The sequence below is a fragment of the Homo sapiens genome, chromosome 4 (genome assembly GCF_000001405.40).
Source record: "Homo sapiens chromosome 4, GRCh38.p14 Primary Assembly".
NCBI lineage: Eukaryota > Metazoa > Chordata > Mammalia > Primates > Hominidae > Homo > Homo sapiens.
Window position 1 is genome coordinate 100,447,374 of NC_000004.12, and position 23,217 is coordinate 100,470,590.

At 34.0% G+C, this 23,217-nt stretch overlaps 1 protein-coding gene and 1 long non-coding RNA gene across 5 annotated transcripts in view; one reads left to right on the forward strand and one right to left on the reverse strand.

Moving 5' to 3' along the window:
* The window catches only part of EMCN (endomucin), a 122,682-nt gene that overhangs the window by 52,033 nt on the left and 47,432 nt on the right, over positions 1 to 23,217 (reverse strand). For 3 of the 4 annotated variants that reach the window (NM_016242.4, XM_011532024.4, XM_017008290.2), the window contains exons 4-5: positions 18,050 to 18,166; positions 160 to 198 (exon numbers count right to left, since the gene is read on the reverse strand). In NM_016242.4, the coding sequence (NP_057326.2) occupies positions 160 to 198; positions 18,050 to 18,166 (156 nt within the window). The remainder of the gene's footprint in view (positions 1 to 159; positions 199 to 18,049; positions 18,167 to 23,217) is intronic. The other variant, NM_001159694.2, reaches the window with a different exon arrangement.
* The window catches only part of LOC124900740 (uncharacterized), an 89,972-nt gene that overhangs the window by 26,003 nt on the left and 40,752 nt on the right, over positions 1 to 23,217 (forward strand). The window lies entirely within an intron of this gene.

Below are 23,217 nucleotides of genomic sequence, written 5' to 3' on the forward strand. Positions count from 1 at the left end.
TTTTTTTAAACTCAAGTTTTTCTAAACATTTTATTTGTGATGTAATGTTTTCCCTTGTGCTATTTCTCCCTGCCCCCAAACTGATTGGTGTAATTTGTTTTATTCTTGAGATTTTACCCATGAAAATACTAAGAGAGAGACAGAGAAAAAAGAGCTTACCTGGTATTTCTGTTGTTTTAATTGAACTCTGAGTTTCAGCTTTAGAAGGAAAAAAAGAAAAAAAATCAGTACAATTAAATGTTGAATATCAGATCTATTCTCACAATTGTTTCAGGTGGTAAATGAGTATGAATTTTAGCTCATTTCTGATTCACTATTTTCAAATCATAAAATCATGATTCTTCATGATTACAAGAAACTTCAGAGAAGGTTTTTAAGAAAAAGTGGTTCAACCGATTTTTCCCTTAAGGGCCAAATTTTTTAGGTTTTGTGGACCATAAATCTCTGTCATAACTATTCACCTCTGCCTTACACAGAGAAAGCAGCCATACACAGTATCTAAAGAATGGGAATAACTGTGTGCCAATAAAACTTTATTTTCAAAAAGTCAGGGTATTCAATTTTGCCCGTGGGCCATAGTTTGCTGAGTCTTGCTTTATAGGATCTGGTATACCCTCACACTTTGAATATCCTGAGATAACATAGAAAACAAAAATCCTTCAGTAAGTGCTTAATGAAAGTGGCTGCCATGTGTTGTAATCCTACTAAGACTTGGTGCATCTCATGATCTGTGGAAGAAGCAGCAAAGTTCAGACAGATACTTTTAAAATGTAAGAAATTATTTTATGATATAGTCCAGGAGAGCTTTCTGCAAGGAAAGTCACTTGGAAGAATTATAATCAAAGATCACTTCAACACCTTTGAGTACATGCAGCATTTTCAAGATTTGGCACATGAAAAATACAGAAAATAATCTTGAAACAAATAGAAGCCCAATAATGACATTTTTAAAAGTCCACTTGCTTCCTTTGTATATTCACTTGACTCTCTACATCAGCATCTTAAATTTAACATGCCCCAAACAGAACTCTTGACTGTTATCCTGAAATCTGTCTCTTCCGTTGCTTTCTTGGTTCAATACGTGGTGCCATTTGTTTTCCAGTTGCACAAAACAAAACGTCAGTAGCCTGTCTTGAGTTGCCTATGTTTCTCACCCTTATCAGCTCTAGTTTCAAAATGTATTCCAAATTCAAACATGTCTCACCACCTTTTCTGCTATTGTCCACCCAGCACCTGTATCTCTCCCCTGAGAACCTGCAATAGCTGCTTAGGAAAATCTTTTTAAATTTAAACTTCACTGCTCCAATGGCTCCCTATTGCTCCTCAACTCATCTCCAACCATTCAGACCCTGTTTCGTTGTACTCCACCTCGTGGCTTTGCTGTGGCAGATTGAAGGCACAAGGCCCTTTCTGCCTTGAAGTCTTCCTTCCTTCCTTCCTTCCTTCCTTCCTCCCTCCCTCCCTCCCTCCCTTCCTTGCTTTCTGGCTTGCTTGCTTGCTTTCTGACTCTGCTCAGAAGTCGCTGTTCAGAGAAGTCTCCCCAACCACCTTCACCAAATTGTTTCCACAGACCTTTTCACATCATTCCATCTCATTGCTTCATTCATTCAACAGTACTTTTATTACTACCATGTATGTACTTTTGTCTTTAAAAAATTATTATTTTCTGTCAGAACATAACTCCATGGGGGCAGATTTCTTATCTTGTTCAGAGAAGTGATTCCAGTGCTTACCAGTAGAAACATATGGATAGAATGAATGACAGTAGAAAATAATAATATAAAAAACTAATTCTACCTACCTGATTTCAACTTTTAAAGAAAAATGAATACTTTATTTAAAATTTCCTAGTTGGATAATTATAGTTACTATTTGTAAGCAACTTTTATGATCAGTTTCATATCTTATTAGTTGATACCTATAAGGGAAATATTGTATTTCCATTTTGCAGATCTGTAAACATTAGCTGAGAGTAGTAAAATTAATTTCTTAAGGAAAAAACCAGGTATATAGGCCAGGTCTGTTAGCTCTAGTTTTCATCTTCTTTCAGTAAAATGGACAGCTTTTCCTTCCACTAAACTGTTCCAAATAGAAAGCTATGTAATTAATTCCTACTTTTGATAACTAATTAAAACACTTTTGAACATGGCATTATGCTGCATTTGAAAGATACAATTAAAATATCTATTAGCTGCAAGAGGGTTAGAATACAAGGAAATCAAAATCCTTGTTCCTCTTATTATCAGGTCATAACCTTTCTTGGTAGACTTCACTGAGAAGACAAAACCTTCTGATTATCCCTTCTTTGAATTATTTTAGCCTTCAAAAATGTGTAATAATTCTAGAGGAACATAATAAAAGAAATATAACTATACATTAAGGTATAGCTGAGTCTTCATAAAACACATCACTTCAAAACCCTTCTGTTGAGCAGTGTAAGAGGTTTGGACATTTATATATATAAATGAATACATTGATATTTTGAGGACAAAATTCTGTAAGTCTCAAATATTTAATCCAGTATAGAATATATTCCTTTTTTCCCTGAAATCAAGAAAATATTTTAAAAATGATAAAGTGTTTTTACATAAATACAACTTTCAAATTTGGACTCAGTTCTGTGGAAACAAAAGCTTAGTAAAGATGAATGCTATGGAATATGGCTAAAGTTCTGAGAATTAATGAGTGAAGATATTTTCAATTATTCCTGTTTATTATTTATGACTTTCATGAAACATGTGTTTTTGGGAAAAGGCCAAGCTTTGATCTTAAAAGAATCTCAGAAAAGTCAAATAGCAAATTAGCAGTGTGCTTAGTTAACCATTCTCAAACTTAGATGTTTAGTAAGGACCCAAAACTTAGTCAAGGTGGTTGGCAACTTACAATCTGTTTGTTGAGTTTAATTTTTGAATATGAAATTGAAGTCTTATGAAATGTAAATGAATTTTGAAATGCTAATCACATTAATCCAACGTTAAACTTTGCTCAAGCATTTAGTTTTTAAATCAGAAATCTTGAACAGCAATACAACAAATAACTTTGCTAAATATTCTTATCTCACAAAGGATATTGCAGGATATTTTGAACTAACAGACTTACACCTAGAACATGATAATATCATTAACAGGTACAAGAGAAAAATATATACATCTATTCCCATATATAATTATCTACTGATTTGCTGTTGAATAATTTATTATGACCAATTCAAATCCTCTTCATCCTTTCTCCATATGGCATTGACTGAGTCATTAGACATGAGAATACTTCTCATCTGGCTAAACCATGACGTCTGACTAAGACTTTATCATCCTGAGGAGTACTCTTGTATCTGCCTACTTGAAATGATATAAATTAATTAAATCGCATATGAGAAATGTTATAACTAAGTCTCAAAATAAGTTTCATAGACAAATGGTGCAATTCACAAAATAAATATTGAAGCTGGGTGGGTAATTAGATAAATTAGTGTTTTCTAAAGTGTTGGATAGCCTTGTGTGAGAGATTCTATAAGGTAGTACTGGAAAGCAGCATTAAATAAGATGGAAACATTTAATGGGAAAATTGTTTCCTTTTCAGCTTTCTTGCAGTTTACTTGGTTATTTTAATGAGAAAATTCTAAAATTTTCATTGGATGCACATATATTGTTAATATCTAACATGTGCTTATCTTAGTTTATTTTTTTAAAGAACAAGCATGTCTCAAGCTCAGAACCTCTAGCAAAGAACAAATTCTAGCTAGAATTTTATTTATTTATTTACATAGTAGTGATTTTTATAGCTATTGTTTATTTATGCCAAGCAAAACTGGTTTTTCATTTATGGTAGTTTATTTTTCAAACAAATTTAAAAATAAGTGCATCGATTTAAAGAAAAACACTAAAAAAATAATAGCACAGATGATATACATCTCTAGCAACACTCATGAAGTTGTGGGAAATATCAGGGTAAAATCTAGTAGAGGTCCTTGATGAATATGAATGTGTAGAATTTGAATCAGCATTTAGAGGTAGGAGGAGGAAAGAAGGAATAAAAAATATACAAATGGGACAAATGAAAAATATACACATTCAAGTATAAATCAGGCATAGTGGGCAAGAGGACCACCCTGGTTAGAATTGCAGGTTTAAATTTATTCATTCAGTCAGTATCTTGTCATATATTTATTGAACACCTACTTGTCAAGTGCATGATGCACCTAATTAGAAGCTAGTTGTTTTCTAATTCCTTAGATTTAGATACTTTGTGTAAAATAGTTTTCATGAGAACAAGTGTGGTATAGTGAAAGGTGTATAGGGTTTGAGGCAAGAAAAACAGGGTTTTAATCTTTTAAATTTAATCTTGGCCAAGTCATTTAGTGTTTCTGAACTTGTTTCCTTATTTGTGAAATTGGTATCATATATACTTACTTTGCCTGGCTTTTATGAGAATTACTATGACTAAAAAAATAGCTAACATGTATTGTGTTTTTGTGTGTGTGTTTATTTCTTTATATGATTTATCTCCCTTAATCTTCACAAAGATCCTGTGAAAGTATAATCCTATTTTAATTATTTTACAGATGAAGAAACTGAGGCACTGAGAAGTTAAGTAGTGAATTAAAAACCACACAGCACAAATAACTAGTTGTGCTGTTTTTTGAACGTAAGCAATCAGACATCATAATCACTATTCATAACCAATAAGCTAACTTACTCTTGGCATGATTGAAGTGCCAAATTTTTATTTTATGAAGGGTATGATGCCTTGAAGAAAAAAGACCTGGGTGTTGGTCACTCTCATGTCCAGCTAGTAGCTTATCTAAAATGCGTACTTGGTTATTATAAAATTATCTTTGCTTTTTGTATAAAAATAAACTCCATATTAAACTAAGATAAATTATGCAAAAGGAAATACATTTGATAATTTATTTATTATATATAAATGTTATCAATTCCTACTAAATAGCATACTGGTTGATTATAAATGTTATTAAGAAAAGCCAGATTATCTTTTCAGGCTTCAAATCTCTAATATTGTATTCACTGTGGTAGAAGAAACTCTCACTTGGCAAAACCCTTAAAGGTGTTCCTATCCAAGTACTTGCTTTAGTAGAGTTCTATATTGGAGTTCCGCACATCCCAATTTATCATCTATCTATAATCTTATTCTGCATTCTTGTCTCAGCCAAGTTACAATTCAGTAAAGGGAAAAAGAGCAATAGTCCCTCCTTCCCTGCCAATCCTTTACAGTGTGCAAGATATCTCCTTTAAAATCTGGTTATAGATACCAGAATGACTAAGTTACCAGCAAGAAATGCGTATGTATTGTTTTCTTCCCTCCATCTCTTCTTCTTTCCTTTCTCTTCTATCCTCATAAACCAAGAGGATACACAGGTAGCATCACACTACCTGACTTCAAACTATACTACAAGGCTACAGTAACCAAAACAGCATGGTACTGGTACCAAAACAGAGATATAGACCAATGGAACAGAACAGAGCCCTCAGAAATAATGCCTCATATCTACAACTATCTGATCTTTGACAAACCTGACAAAAACAAGCAATAGGGAAAGGATTCCCTATTTAATAAATGGTGCTGGGAAAACTGGCTAGCCATATGTAGAAAGCTGAAACTGGATCCCTTCCTTACATCTTATACAGAAATTAATTCAAGATGGGTTAAAGACTTACATGTTAGACCTAAAACCATAAAAACCCTAGAAGAAAACCTAGGCAATACCATTCAGGACTAGGCAAGGACTTCCTCTCTAAAACACCAAAAGCAGTGGCAACAAAAGCCAAAATTGACAAATGGGATCTAATTAAACTAAAGAGCTTCTGCACAGCAAAAGAAACCACCATCAGAGTGAACAGGCAACCTACAGAATGGGAGAAAATTTTTGCAACCTACTCATCTGACAAAGGGCTAATATCCAGAATCTACAATGAACTCAAACAAATTTACAAGAAAAAAACAAACAACCCCATCAAAAAGTGGGCAAAGGATATGAACAGACACTTCTCAAAAGAAGACATTTATGCAGCCAAAAGACACATGAAAAATTGCTCATCATCACTGGCCATCAGAGAAATGCAAATGAAAACCACAATGAGATACCATCTCACACCTGTTAGAATGGCAACCATTAAAAAGCCAGGAAACAACAGGTGCTGGAGAGGATGTGGAGAAATAGGAACACTTTTACACTGTTGGTGGGACTGTAAACTAGTTCAACCACTGTGGAAGTCAGTGTGGCGATTCCTCAGGGATCTAGAACTAGAAATACCATTTGACCCAGCCATCCCATTACTGGGTATATACCCAAAGGATTATAAATCATGCTGCTATAAAGACACATGCACACGTATGTTTATTGTGGCACTATTCACAATAGCAAAGACTTGGAACCAACCTAAATGTCCAACAATGATAGACTGGATTAAGAAAATGTGGCACATATACACCATGGAATACTATGCAGCCATAAAAAATGATGAGTTCATGTCCTTTGTAGGGACATGGTTGAAGCTGGAAACCATCATTCTCAGCAAACTATCGCAAGGTCAAAAACACCAAACACCGCGTGTTCTCACTCATAGGTGGGAATTGAACAGTGAGAACACATGGACACAGGAAGGGGAACATCACACACCAGGGACTGTTGTGGGGTGGGGGGAGGGGAGAGGGATAGCATTGGGAGATATACCTAATGCTAAATGACGAGTTAATGGGTGCAGCACACCAGCATGGCACATGTATAGATATGTAAGAAACCTGCAAGTTGTGCACATGTACCCTAAAACTTAAAGTATAATAATAATAAAAAAATTAAAAAAATAAAAAAGAGTTAATGAGTATGTCGTGTTTTCAAGCCATTAGCAAAAAAAAAAAAAAATAGCTCAGGAAGAGAAAAAGATTTGAAGTTTTGCAAGGAAGTTTTACACTCAATCCCTCCACAGTTTAGCTATTGAAGGGTGGGGGACCTTTGTTATTGACAACTAACACTTCTTTTGAAGCACCCCTCAGTGACAACCAACGTAGCTCTGCATATAGTCAATGATAAACGTATGGATTATGAAACCTAGGTATAGTGAGGGCTAATGCAAGGACCTGGTCTGTGATGAGTTAAATGGTGACTCCCTGACCCCCTACTCCCAAAAGATAGGCAGACCTGGAACCTGTGATCTTATTTTTTTAGCAAGAATATAAAACTAATATAGATCATCAAGACACTGTGAGATTTCTACTCTAAGTAATCTAAACACAAAAGTCACTATCCTCTTTTGCTAAGCATACAATTTCTTTTTCTGCGGAATGTGTTTTGGGTGAGAATACCAGATAACTGTCACCAATGATGTCAAAGTATAGATCTTTCTATAAATACTAATTAAACATTTGGTGTCTTGTACTTTCTTTAAGAAAGTCAAGGTTCAAATAACTCTCTTTATCCCCGATAAAACTCCTTCCTTTGAAACCTTCTCTGTCTGATATTATTGTAGTCCCTTCAACTTTCTTTTAATTAGTTTTACCAAAGTATACCTTTTCCTGTCTTTTGTTTTTAATAAATTTATACTTAAAGTAGGTTTTCTGAATACTGCACATATTTGGGAAGAGGTTATGCTTTTTATCCAGTTTAACAATCTTATCTTTATAAATAAAATGTTTAAGCCGTTTTATTTTATGTGATAAATTATTATAATTGATTTTAAGTACACAATCTGATTGTAAAAATTTTCCATCTGTTCTCTGTTTCTTTTTTTCTTGTTTATTGCCTTCTTTTGGATTGAGTCTTTTTTTAAGATTTTATTTATCTCCAGTATTGATTTTACAACAGTATAGTTATAACCTTTCTCTCATTTTGGCATTTGTGCCATTGTTATACATTTTGTTTCTACATATGTCGTAAACCTTCCATACATTTTTGTTATTTTATCTTTAAACAATAAATTGTCTTTTGAAGAGACTAAAAATGAGATAAAAGTCTTTCATAGTTGCTCACATATTTACCATTTCTAATGTTCTTCATGCCTTTATTTAGATTGAAATTTCCATCTGGTACCATATTTTTCTGTTCCTGAATGTCTTTACTGATATGAATTTCGCAGCTTTTATATGTCTGAAAAAATATTTACAGAATTCTAGGGTGAAAAGTTTTTTTTTTTTTTTCTTCCAGTACTAAAAAGTTGTTTCATTGTTTTCTGGCATGCATTGTTCCTGATGAGTCTCTGCTGTAATTTTTATCATTGTTCTTCTCTATTTAATGTATAATTTTTTTCAATAGCTTCTTTCAAGATTTTCTCTTTATCTCCGGTTTTCCATGATTTGATTATGATGTGCTTTGGTGTAGTTTTCTTCAACTTGGGGCTCTTTAAGTTACCTGAATCTATGGGTTTATAATTTTATACACTTGGATTATCTTCCCTTTTGTTCGTTTTTTCTTTTGTTTTTTTTCTTGAGACAGAGTTTCACTCTGCCACCCAGGCTGGAGTGCAGTGGCATAATCATGGCTCACTGAATTCTCGATCTCCCTGGCTCAATCAATCCTCCTGCCTCACCCTCCCAAGTAGCTGGGAATACAGGTGCCTGCCACTATGCCTGTCTAATTTTTGTATTTTTTGTAGAGACAGGGTTTCACCACGTTGTCCAGGCTGGTCTCAAACTCCTGGGCTCAAGCGATTTGCCCACTTTGGACTCTCAAGTGTTGGAACTACTTTGGGGTTGGGGAGACACCACACCTGGCCCTTCTTCAAATATGTTTTCGGTCCATCCTTCTCACATCTTCTTCTGAAATTGTATGTATCTTAGGCCCCTGGGGTGTCCCACACCTCACTGATATTTTATTCTATTTTTCTGGTCTTTTTTCTCTCCAACTTATCTAGTTTCTATTGTTATGCATTCATGTTGAAAAACCCAAAATATTAGTTTTTGTTGATCCACTTTATGGTACATTTGCTTTCCAATTCATTAATTCCTACTCATATTTTTATTGTTTTCTTCCTTCAACTTTTTGGGGGTTTATTATTTATTTTTTCTGCCTTATTGAGATGGTTGTTCTAGTAATTAAGTTTGAACCATTCTTTTTCCTGCCTGATATATGCATTTTAGAGCTATAAATTTTACCGTTAAGATTGGCTTTAATTATATTGCCAGTTTTGGTACTGCATATTTTTGCTATCATTCAGTTCAAACTATTTGCTGATTGTCATTATGATTACTTCTTTGACACATAAGTTACTGTAGTTTAAAATGTATCAGCATAGAGCTATCTTTTAGTTTTTTTTTTGTTTAGATTAATTCCTCTTTGATCAAGAGACACACTCTGTATCACTTAAATCATTTAAAACCTGTTGAGACTTGCTTTATGACACAGGCTATGATCTATGATAGTAACGAATTCTTATCTACCTGAAAATAGTTCACTTTCTGTAGTTGAGATAGTTCACTTTCTGTAGTTGAGGTGCAGTGTTCCACATATTTCCATTAAATTGTTTGTTAATCATATTGATTTATGCTACATCAATACCTATATTTTGTCAACTAATGAGAAAGGTATATTAAAATTTTCATGAGAATTGTGGATTTGTGTTTTTCACTAAATGTTTGCTTTATATATTTTCATGCTATATGATAACGTAAAATTTTTAACTTGTTTTATTTTCCTGGAAAATTAAATATTTTAGTATTATGAAATGTTCCTATTTATTTCGATTTAGTTTTTTTTGCCTTAAATTCTACTTTTTCTGATATAGATGTATTTATTTCAGGGTATATCCTTTTTCACTCTTTTAAATTTAACTGTTGTATGTCTTTTTTAAGCAACATATAGTTTGGTTGTGTGTGTGTGTGTGTGTGTGTGTGCGATCATTAGTTTCTATTAATAAGATCATGTCATCTGAGAACAGAGATCATTTTACTACTTCCTTCTCTATATGACTGCTTTTAATTTCTTTTTCTTTCCTGATTGCTCTGAATAGAACTTTCAGTATTATATTCAATAGAAGTGATGAGAGTGGACATCATTTGCTTTGTAGGAAAAGCTTTCAACTTTGTACTGTTGACTATAAAGTTACTTGTGGACTTTTCATATATGAACTTTATTATTTGGGGCAATTTTTAAAAATTTATAGTTTATTGAGCATTTTTATCCTGAAAAGATGTTAAATTTTGTCAAATGTTTTTCTGCAACAATTGAGATAATCATGTGGCTATTGACCTTCATTCTGTTAATGTGGTATATTATATTGATTGATTTTCCTATGTTGAACCATCTCGCATTCCACAAATAAATGCCACTTGAAACAAGATGTCTAATCCTCTTAATGTGTTATTGAATTTGGCTTGCTAATATTTTGTTGAACGTATTTGCATCAATATTCATTAAGAATATCAGTCTGCAGTGTTCTTTTCTTGTAGTTTTTGTGAATGATTTTGGTATCTGCCTAATTTTAGTCTCATAGAATGCATTTGAAAGTGTTCCTGGCTGGGTGTGGTGGCTCACACCTGTAATCCCAGGACGTTGGGAGGCTCAGGTGGGTGGATCATGAGATCAGGAGTGCAAGACCAGCCTGGCCAAGATGGTGAAATCCCGTCTCTACTAAAAATACGAAAATTACCCGGGCATGGTAGTGGGTGCCTGTAATCCCAGCTACTCGGGAGGCTGATGCAGAGAACTGCTTGGACCTGGGAGGTGGAGTTTGCAGTGAGCCGAGATTGTGCCACTGCACTCCAGCCTGGGCAACAGGGCAAGACCCTGTCAAAAAAAAAAAAGTGTTTCCTTCTCTTTATTTTTTTATAAGAGTTTGAGGAGGATTGGTGTTAATTCTTCTTTAATTTTTGGTGGAATGCTTTAATGAGGCCATCTGGACCTGAGCTTTTCTTTGTTGGGAGGTTTATTTTATGTCATTATTTTATTTTATTTTTAGGGCTGTTTTAACTGCTAGGCTCTTTGATAACAGTATCTGGGGCCTAAAATATTTCCAAGGGCCTAGTGAAATCTTTGAGATCTCAAACACAGAATTATTGCCTCCATTATACAAAAAAATCAGCAAAATCTAAATTGATAAATGATTCCCTAATGTGTCTACAAAATGCATACAACCTTAAAATCCATTAAGGTCTGAAACACTTCTGATCCCAAGCACTTTGATAAGGGATATTCAACTTGTATCACTTTTATAACTTTTGATAAATTTTTATAAGTTTTTATAACTTTTATAATTTTATAACTTATAATCTATAAATTCAGTTAACATAGGATGTGGGGGCAATTCAATGTTTGAGAAGGGGGACCTAAAGTCAGAAGGCCTAAAACTAACAAAGGCCTTAAAACAGCCTGTATTCCAACAACAAACATACTCTATCTTCTTTTCAATTGACCTTCACTCAAACAGTTTTCCTTTTCCCAAAATGACTCCTCCCTTCTTTGCAGCTGGTGCTTACTCCTCAAAACTTATTCAGTACTAGACAAAAAACTCTGCCTCCTCAGAAGGCTCCACCTTTTGTGGTTTGAAACTTCCTTTATCATGTTCTGTCTTGATGGTAAAACCTCATAAACATTTAGCCTTCCCCTGGGTGCTAGAGGCTCTGTTCAGCATGGAGAGAGGTTCTTTGCCCTGAAAGATTTCACTGTTGAGTTAGAGAAGCAGGCAAATCCACATGAAAAAAAAATCAGTATTAAAATGACTTTCCAGTGGATGGCAAGTCTTCTTTGGCTTTCTCTTTCTTGAGAATTACATGAATTTGTAGGACTTCTTTTATTTAGTTTATTAAGTTGGACAACTCCTCCTAGCTGGAGCCATTGCCCTCAGATGCTCTCTCTCTCTCTCTCTCTCTCTCTCTCTCTCTCTCTCTCTCTCTCTCTCTCTCTCTCTCATCTCTAGAGAGAGAGACAGAGAGGTTGTTTTCAGTATTTTCAGTATATGACAATATTTTGTGTGTGTGTACACCATATATATATACATATGGTGTACAATGTGATGTTTTGAGATATACATGTATTGTGGAATGATTAAATCAAGCTGATTAACATATGATCTCACATACTTATTAGTTTTTTTGTGGTCAGAACATTTAAAATCTACTCTCTTAGTGATTTTCAAGTAGAAAATACATTATTATTAATTATAGACACTAGGTTGTAAAATAGGTCTCCAGAAGGTATTCCTCCTGTCTAACTGAAATTTTGTATAATTTGACCAACATCTTCTCATTCCCACCCTACCCAACTCCCCACCTCCAGCTTCTAGTAACTACCATTCTACTCTCTATCTCTATGAGTTCAACATGTTTAGATTCCACATGTAAGGGAAAACTTGCAATATTTGTCTTCCTGTGCCAGACGTATTTCAGTTAGCATAATGACCTCTAAGTTTATCCGCGCTTTCGCAAATGACAGGTTTTCCTTTTTCTTTCCAGGCAAAATAGTATACTATTGTGTATATATACCACATTTTCTTTACCTCTTCATCTGTTAATGGACACTTAGGTTGATTCCATATCTTGTCTATTGTGAATATTGCTGTGATGAACATGAGAATTAAATATCCCTTTGACACACTAATTTTATTTCCTTGGATATGTACCCAGAAGTGGGATTACTGGATCATATGATAGCTATAATTTTAATTTTGGGGGAATATCCATACAGTTTTCCACAATGGCTACACTATTTTATATTTCCATCAACAGTATACAAGATTTCTCTTTTCTCTATATCTTTGACAGCACTTTTTATCTCTCATCTTTTTGATAATGGCCATTCTAACAGGTATGAGGTGATAACTCATAGTGGTTTTAATTTGCATTTCCTTGATGATTAGTAATGTTGGGAATATTTTCATATGTCTGTTGGCCATTTGTATGTCTTTTTTTGTGAAATGTCCATTCAGGTCCTTGGCCCATTTTAAAATTGGGTTATTTGTTTCTTTGCTATTACATTGTTTGAGTTCCTTATATATTTTGTATGTTAACCTCTTAACATTTGTATGGTTTGCAAATATTTTCTTCCATTTTATAGGTGTATTAGTCTGTTCTCACACTTGTAATAAAGACATACCTGAGACTGGGTAATTTATGAAATAAGAGGTTTACTTGAATCACAATTCCACATGGCAGGGGAGGCGTCACAATCATGGCTGAAGGCTAATGAGGAGCAAAGTCACGTCTTACATGATGGCAGGCAAGAGAGCTTGTGCAAGGTAACTGCCTTTTATAAAACCATCAGGTCTCATGAAACTTATTCACTGTCACAAGAACGGTATGGAAAAGACCTGCCCTCATGATTCAGTTACCTCCCTCCAGGTCCCTCCCATGACACGTGGAAATTATGGGAGCTACAATTCAAGTGAGATTTGAGTGGGGACACAGCCAAACCATTATCAATAGGTTATCTCTTCACCCCGTTGATTGTTTCCTTTTCTGCACTGAAGCCTTTTCATTTGATACAATCTCATTTGTCTAATTATGCTTTTGTTGCCTTTGCTTTTGATGTTATATCTGAAAAATCATTGCACAGACTAATGTCAAGAAGCATTTCTCCTAGGTTTTCTTCTAGTAGGTTTACAATTTAGGTCTTTTGAAAATGTAAATAATATCATATCATTGCTCTGCTCTCAACTCTCCATCACATTGTGTATCCAATTAGAATAAAATTCACTGTCCTTACCATGGCCTATGTAGCCCTGTCTGGACTGACCCCTTCTTCCTGCTCTAATGGCATGTGCTATCTTTTCTTCCCTTCATTCCTTCCAATCAACCACAGATGACTCCTCTTTATTCAAACAACTTAAATCCACCCACATATCAGCACCTGTGCACTTTGTATTTCCTCTTTGAATTCTCTCCCAGATATCCATATGTTCACTTCTTGACTTTATTTAGTTCTCTTTCCAAATGGCACTTGTTCAGAGAGGGATTCTTTGAACACCTTATGAAAATTGGCACTACCATCACCACTTGCTTTTTTTTACTGTTTTATTATTATTTAGAGTATCACTGATATTGAATTATTAATATTTAACTTATTTATCTTTTTCATCCACTAGAAGGTAAATTTCATGATAGCATGGTCTGTCTAATATACAACGATTTATCACAATCCAGAATAGTTCCAGGTACATAGATAATCCTCTGAAAGATTTTTAGTAAATAAGATAATTTTTAATTCAAAAAGCCCACATTTTTTAAATAATAAAGTCAGAGCACTAGATTAATGAGAAGTTCTATCTTAAAAATTCTAGGATTCTAGAAATTGTTTCCTTTTAAATAGGAAAAATACACACCCCTCTAAAAGAATGGGAAAAGATTAGAGAGAAATGTTTTGAGTATGATCTTCTTTTTTGATCTGAATTCCAACTTTCTAGGGAATAAAGCAACAAATCTCACTAACTCTTCTACTCTAAATTAAACCTGTATTTGTTTTCATCTTTAGATGAAATACCCACAATGTACTTGTCTGATATTTCCTATCCAAGGAACCATTGCCCAGATGTTTAAGAGGGAGCTGAATCTTCAGCTGTTCAACATTTAACCAACAGTAGATTGTTTTGTTTTGTCTCTATCTCTCTGTCCTGTATCCACTAATCCTAACAGTGTTTATGTGTGATGGGCGGAAAGGGAGTGGTGCTCTGCTAACCAGGAATCTGGGAGAGGTCCCGGTTTCATCACTTGGCAAATGGAAATGTGTGCAAACACATTATATCAAGTAGGGTCCATGTTGGGCAATAAGCACCTTGAGAAAAGAGAGGGATCTAGGGAATAATGGCTGACCCAGAAATAAATGTAATAATAAATTCTAAAAAATTTTGTATAAAACTTGTTTGTCAAATAACAAAAGCAATGGACAACAGTAAATACGCTTATTTCATTATCCTGCTTTCCAGAGTGTTTCATTTCTTAAGAAAATGGCTTTGATGTATTTTTTAAACTACTTGGAAGAAAGCCATTTTAAACTGAGTTTAGAAGCTAAATCAATACAACAGTCCCCAGAACTGAGACGCAGAGAGCATTCTACTTCATGAATTGAAGTGGAATTAAAAGTCTTAACTGACTCATGGGCTGACCACATACTTCTGAAATGTATGTAATAGGTTTAATAAATCACAGTCCGTGAATGACATTTTCTTCCTCACAAGTCACTGAATGGGTGAGTATTTAGTGCAGGATACAAATTATTTGAGTCTAATTTTCCAGAAGCTGCTATACACTTTGCAGATATATATATAGTAGTTTTATTTTTATATTATAGGGGCCATCATATTATACGTAGATGAATTTTGGTTTCCTGAAGGTGCCTTTTAGATATATATTACTTACAAAATAGGTTCTACTTATCAGAAACCAAACCACTACTACACGAAAATGTTATCCATATGAAGAAGAGATGATTCTGCTCTTCAAATTCCTCTACGGGGTGACTGTCCCATTAAAAAGAAGTAGTAGTTTACAATTATGGTGTGAAATTAGACTCCTTCTAGGCAAACTTCTGTATGTTGTGCTTGAGATGATTACAATAAAAAAGAGACAATTTATGTTTCTGAAGTTTCTAGACAAGAGTAGGTCTTGGATAGCCACAATTTCTACTTGTCATCTCTTTCTACCTTAGAGATTTCCCAAGAAAAGACTTAGACATTATGAGTCATCTGTAGCCATTTCTTAGTAAGGACTATGGATACACCAAAAATGCTTCCATTACTTATATTCCTAACTCTTCCAGTCAAGTGTGTTTACTATACATAGAAATTACTTATATCATGGAGTCCAGAATGTGAGAAGTACCTGTTGTGAGAAAACTGGAACTGGAAAGCTGTCAGAAATTATGGGAGTTCTAGCTTCTACTTGTCTCTCTGCCTCGCACAAACATTTTAATTTTGCTCACAGGGTATTCCTATCTCCCAATATACTCTCCATTCTTTTCTGTCAATTTGTTTACTCATAATAACTGCTTCTGGATGCCATAGGTATGCACATGAATTGCCATGACTACCGCAGACTCCCACTACTAAACTTCGCACCTTCAATTCCCGTAGCTAACTCTGCTGTTTGTTTGTTGGGTTTTCTAGTTCAAACTACTCAGAAAGAAAATTTGATTGGCTAAGCTCATCATTTTCTTTCCTTCTGTTTTTCAACAAAGCTTTATAAAAAATATGATTTACACACCATTAAATGCACTCATTTTAAGAATACAAGTAATAATTTTTAGTAAATTTGTAGAGTTGTGCAACCATCATCATAACATAATCTAGTTTTAGAACAGCTCCATCAAATGAAAAACTCCTGTGAGCTTATTTAGAGTCAATCCCCACTCCCATCTCCAGCTGCAGGCAACCACTTACCTGCTTTCTGTCCCTATAAACTGTCTTTTCTGCATATTTACTGTAAGTGGAATCATACCACATGTCATGTTTTGTGTATGGCTTCTTTCATTGAGTATAATGTTTTTGAGGTTCATACTTCATTACAATAGCTTTAGAATAAGTTTTGAAATTGGGTTGTGTCCTCTAACTTTGTTCTTTTTCAAAAGTGTTTTGACTATTCCAGGTCCTTTTTATTTCCGTACAAATCTAGGGTCATCTTATCAATTTCTTTAAAAGAACTGGGATTCTGGTAGGGATTGCATTAAATATATTAATCAATTATTGATCAACTTGGAGAGAATTATCATTTAAAATATTGAGGTTTCTAATCTATAAACATGTAATGTATCTTTAGATATTTAATTTCTCACCAAAATAGTTTATAGTTTAGTGTATAAATCTTGCACTTCTATTGTTAAATTTATTTCTACATATTTTATACTTTTTGATGCTATTGAAGATGGAATTATTTTCTTAATTTTATTTTGGATCACCACTGTTAACATATAAAAATATAATTTATTTTAATATATTTTATATCCTGTGCTACAAACCGCTCTTTAGTGGTTTTAGTTTTATAGTGAATCCTTGGAATTTTCTACGTAGATAATTATGTAGTCTTCTAATAAAAAATGCTTTATTTCTTCCTTTTCAATCTAAATGTATCTATGTATTATCCATTGTTGAATTGTACTATCTAAAACCTCTGGCTATAATGTTGAATAAAACTGATAAGAACAGACATCTTTGGTATGTTCCAGATCTTAAGGGGAAAACATTAAGTCTTTCATTATTAGGTATGATGTTAGCTGTAGGCTTTTTGTATATGCCCTTTATCAAGTTGAGGAAATTTCATTACATTTCTAGTTTATTGAGAGTTTTTAATATGAGTGAATGTTAGATTTTGTCGAATGCTCCTTCTACATGTACTGATTTTACTAATATGTTGTATTACTTTCTTTGGTTTTCATATGTTAAACTAATCTTGCATTTCTGGGATAAATCTGACTTGTTCATATTTTATATTCCTTTTTACTTGTTACTGATTTTTTTGCAATATTTTATCGAGGATATTTGCATCTATGTCTAAGAGCCATATTGGTCTATAGTTTTCTTTACTTGCTTTTTCTTTTCATTCTTTTCTTGCTTTGGTGTCAGGGTAACATTAGCCTCTGATAATTATTTGTGCAGTGTTTTCCCCTCCTTTACTTTCTAAAAGAGTTTGGGAAGAGTTGGTATGATTTATTTCTGAAATGCTTTATAGAATTGACAATTGAAGCCATCATGGCTTGGGGTTTTCTTCATAGGAATATTTTTAGTTCCTATTTCAATTTCTTTAATCATTATAGGTTTTTTCAGATTTCCATATCTTCTTGAGTCAGTTTTAGCAATTTATTTCTTTCTAACAATTTTTTCATTTCATCTAAGTTGTCTAATTTTTTGGCTGAGCTCTCCTTTTAGTGCCAGGTAATATCATAGATTACTGCCCAGTCTTGCATTAATCTTCCTTGTGACCCATTCCTTTGTGGCTGCAGTGGGATAGGGTATCACTGTAAAAGATGAGGCTGCCAAATGATTGTTCTATTGGGTAGAGATTAAGAGACAATTTAAGCAGAGCATAATTCCTTGGCAGTTGTATGCTGGAAAACATTCTGAAACTAGTTTTATGCAACACACTAGTTTAACACTTCAGCACAAATCCTCATACTTACTCTTGGGTTTGGAACTTTGTAATGTTGAAACAGCATTTGGAAGTGTAACACTTGTTACTGTTACGTTTGAAATGATGGAGTCATTCTTCCTGACATCAGTGGTTGTGGCTTTCAATCCTATAAAAAGAATGAACAGTCATCAGGAGTATAACAAATCACCAGATCATCTTATTAATATTCATATTAATATCCAACTAAAACTTGAAGATTAATTTCTAGAAGTCTTCTGACTAAGCCTTAGAAATCCAGCATTTTAACATTCACCTTTTGGTGATATAATTAATTACTTTAAAGAATGTGGAGGGACATTAACTTTCTTGTGTACATGCTGTAGGTTATCTCACTTGATTGTCATGGTAATCTTACGAATTAAGTAATCATGATGATGATGATTTTATATATAAGACTCAGAGGAATTAAATAATTTCCCCACGGTCACATAACTTATAATAGGAGAGAACAATGACCTGAATTCAAGCCTTTCTGATGCAAAAGTTAATCACTCAGCTGCCCTGGGAAAAGAAAGGTAAGGATGTGGTAGTAATTAAGTATGGCACTATTGTTCTCATGCCACTTGGGAAAATATTTTCAAGCAGGTGGAATAGTCAGGGGATGAGGGATAATTGGACATAAATGGAATACACTTTTAATTATACTTAGTTCATTTTTCTTTGAAAAAAAAATTTACAACAAAAATATAGGCTGAGCTTTTCAAAGATAACATTGGAATAAGATGACTTGAAACAACTTATATTTGCCCATATATTCTGAAAAAAAATCGATGCCCTTCAGTTTTTTCAGTCTAATGTGGAAACATTGGGCCAGTGAAGAAAATGCAGACATGCCATTTACTGCATGCTTGGTGTTAGCTGGATGTGATGCTAGCTGGAGATGAGGGGAAAGCAGTTTAGTAGATCTCTAACACAGAGTAGAATGGAGCAAGAATTGCTGGTGTTTTCTAGAAGTGCAGTCAACTTCCATTCTATGTCAACAAGCATCTACTGTGTAATACAAATTCTTAGTGCAGTTGAGGAAGTCATGCTGAAGAAAGGGATCATTTGCAAGAAGACTTCATAGACAGTAGATAAATACATTTTCCTTCAGGTAAAAAGCCTTTGGGAATTAGTGTGCAAACAAAATGAAACAAATTCAAATGTAGTCTACAGTGTTAATCCTGCATATGAGAGAGAATGACTGGAAATAGCCACACATTTCAGAGGTATCATGAAGTGTTAAATTGGGAGGAAAATATGTGAAGTAGAGATAATGCCTTATTACAGCAAGAAAGCAGAAGTTGGTATTCGTGTTAGCATGGAAGTGGGACAGGTCACCCAAGGTGCAGAAACTCAACATTTGAGGATGGAGGAACTCCTGGGGGTAAAGATTTTGCTTCCCACTGGAATTCCAACATATGTTGGGGAAAGATCAGAACAGGAGTTTCTCTTCAGAAATTTTTGGAGAAAAATTCTTCAGCTGAGCTAAAATTGGAAAGCATGAAAAAGCTATCCTGAAGGCCTAAAGAGTTCCCTAGTATCAAGCAGACTCAACAGTCTTGGTGGAGGGAAAGAGTATATATAGCTAAGAAAGATGTGGAGGGCTGCCAGATTGGAAATATGCAAAGAAAGGAGAAAAATAATGGAATAGCTGGGAATGCAATGCCAAAGATTTTGCTTAGAGAATTGCCTATTATAAATGTGGAATATACTTCACAAATGAGAATTAGAGCCTACACTCAATGTAGGACAGGTTGTCAATTATACTACATGAAGTAGGCCTTGGAGCAAATCTTGAATGTTTAAGATAAATCAAAATGTTTTAAAATATTCATGGTAAACTCAAACTGAATAGAATAAAAGATGCTGCCACAGCCACAAATTTTTAAACTTTACTAATATACAGAAATGCTTCAAATCCTAGTCTCAGGAGAGAAGAATCTATGCATGGTTGACTAACATTTATTAAGATATGAGAATCGGCCGGGCGCGGTGGCTCACGCCTGTAATCCCAGCACTTTGGGAGGCCGAGGCGGGCGGATCACGAGGTCAGGAGATCGAGACCATCCTGGCTAACACGGTGAAACCCCGTCTCTACTAAAAATACAAAAAAAAAATTAGCCGGGCGTGGTGGTGGGCGCCTGTAGTCCCAGCTACTCGGGAGGCTGAGGCAGGAGAATGGCATGAACCCAAGAGGCGGAGCTTGCAGTGAGCCGGGATAGCGCCACTGCAGTCCAGCTTGGGCGAAAGAGTGAGACTCCGTCTCAAAAAAAAAAAAAAAAAAAAGATATGAGAATCATAGTCATATTAACATCTTTTTGAGAAAATTTTTCCAGTTGTATTTATAGTTAACACATAGTTTATTCCAAACTACTGCCAATGAGTAATTCACACCTTCAGAGAAAAAGTAAATCAATCTTAAAGCTGGTCTTTAAATCTAAATACTTTCTACTTTCCCCTACAAAACAATATGTACCTGCTGTCATCTACAGTTATGAATTGCACTATAATCCTAGGCAATAGTGCATGCATTAGGTTTCACAAACATAATTTTTCTGGAGAAATATTAATTTATAAGAGAATTGCATCAAGATACATTGGCTTTACATTTATGACTTGTGTTTTTAAGATTCATGTATGTTTAAATCGTAGCTTTTGGTATAGGTGGGACACATTAAAGACAAAACATAATGAATTTATCCATATTTGAGTTGGAAAAAATAAGAATTTAACACAAGAGATGCTTGAGGGAGTCGTATCAGTACCAGATTGTAAATGGAGAAAAGAAACCTTGATTCCAAGCATGTCCTTAGGTGAAAACCACTGCATAGGGCTGAGAGAAATGTGGGAGAGGGTCTGTTTTATAATGATCTTGGAATTGTTAACGTGTAATTTATTTTGTATATTTTGAGGAATTAAGTTTATTGAGGAAAACAATAAATCAGGACATTAACTATATTAGGAATCTAATGTGTAGTTACCAATTAACATGAAGAGATGGTTTGTGGTCATGGATTTTAATTTTATAGGGAGGGAGATTGGCAGCTTTATTCCTTTGGAATTACATAATTTGAATTACAGCATTGTTTTATCTGATGCCCATAGGAAAAATGTCTGACCACTTTGTCTTAAGAAATAGAATAAAAGGTAAGAGACTTTTGACAAGGTTAGCATTTACTAAAATACATGCTGTAGACTACTAGTACTGTGGTATATTTGGTTTTACATGAATAAAAGATGCTCTTAAAATATTTAGGATTAAATTTAATCAAGGAAATGAAAGAGCTGCACACTGAAAACTATAAAACATTAATAAAAAAACTGAAGAATTCACAAATAAATGAAAAGATATCCTATGTTCATGGATTAAAATAATTAATATTAAAATGTCCATATTACCCAAATCAATATATAGATTTTTAAAAATCCCTATCAAAATTCACATGTTATTGTTTACAGAAATAGAAAAAAAAATTGTATGGAAACACAAAAGATCCTGAATAGCAAAACAATCTTGAGAAAGAAAAATAAAAGTAGAGGCATCACACTTCCTAATTATTTAAAATTATATCACAAAGCTACAGTAATCCAAACAGTATAATACTGGCATGAAAACAGACACATAGACCAGTGGAAGAAAATAAAGAGTCCAGATATAAATCTAAACATATATGGTCAATTAATTTTCAACAAGGGCACCAAGAGGTTACTATAAAGAAAGGATAGTCTCTTCAATACATTGCACTGGGGAAACTGTGCTACCACATGCAAAAGAATGAAATTGCACCCTTATTTGACACAACACACAAAAATCAACTCTAAATGGATAAAAGACCTAAATGTAATATCTGAAATCATAAACCTCCAGAAGAGAAGATAGGGGCAAATCTCCTTCACATTGGCCTCAGCAATTATTTCTGGATATTACATCAAAAGCTCAGGGTATGGCCTCAGCAATTATTTTTGGATATTACATCAAAAGCTCAGCTACAAAAGCAAAAGTAAATAAATGGGACTACATCAAACTAAAAACCTAGTGCACAGCAAAGGAAACAATTAGCAAAATGAAAAAGCAGCTTACAAATTGAGAAAAATAATTTGTAAATTATATATCTGATAAGGAGTTAATAGTCAAAGTTTATAAAATAATTATTTAATTTAAGTCTTTAATCTATCGAGTTAATTTTTGAATATGGTGTAAAGAAGGGGTACAGTTTTAATCTTCTGCATATGGCTAGCCAATTATTCCAGCTTCATTTATTGAACAGGGAGTCCTTTCTCCATTGTTTGTTTTTGGCAGCTTTGTTGAAGATTAGATAGTGTAGGTATGTGGCCTTATTTCTGGGTTCTCTATTCTGTTCCATTTGTCTATGGTTACTGTAGCCCAGTAGTATAGTTTGAAGTGAGGTAACATAATGCCTCTAGCTTTGTTCTTATTGCCTAGGATTTCTTTGGCTATTTGGGTTCTTTTTTGGTTCCATATGAATTTTTAAATAGTTTTTTTCCAGTTCTGTGAAGATTTTCAATGTTAGTTTAATAGACAATACCATTTAGGACATAAGCATGGGCAAAGTTTTCATGATGAAGACACCAGAAATAATTGCAACAAAAGCAAAAATTGACAAATGGGATTGAATTAAACTAAAAAGCTTCTGCATAGCAAAAGAAACTATCAAAAGAATAAACAGATAACCTACAGAATGGGGGAAATTTTTGCATACTCTGCATCCAACAAAAGTCTAATATTCCGCATCTATAAGGAATTTAAATTTACAAGAAAAAACAACCCCATGCCCAATAACATGGGCAAAGGACATGAACAGACACTTTTAAAAAGAAGACATACATGTAGCCAACAATCATATAAAAAAAGTTCAACATCAGTGATTATTAGAGACATGCAAATCAAAACCACAATGAGATACCCTCTCACACCAGTTAGAATGGCTATTACTAAAATGTTAAAAAAAAAAACAGGTGCCAGTGAGGTTGTGGAGAAAAAGGAAGGCTTATACATTGTTGGTGGGAGTGTAAATTAGTTCAAACATTGTGGAAGACAGTATGGCAATTTCTTTAAGACCTAAAAACAGAAATACCACTCAACCTAACAATCCCATTACTTGGTATATAACCAAATGAATAGAAACCATTCTATTATGAAGCACACATATGTTC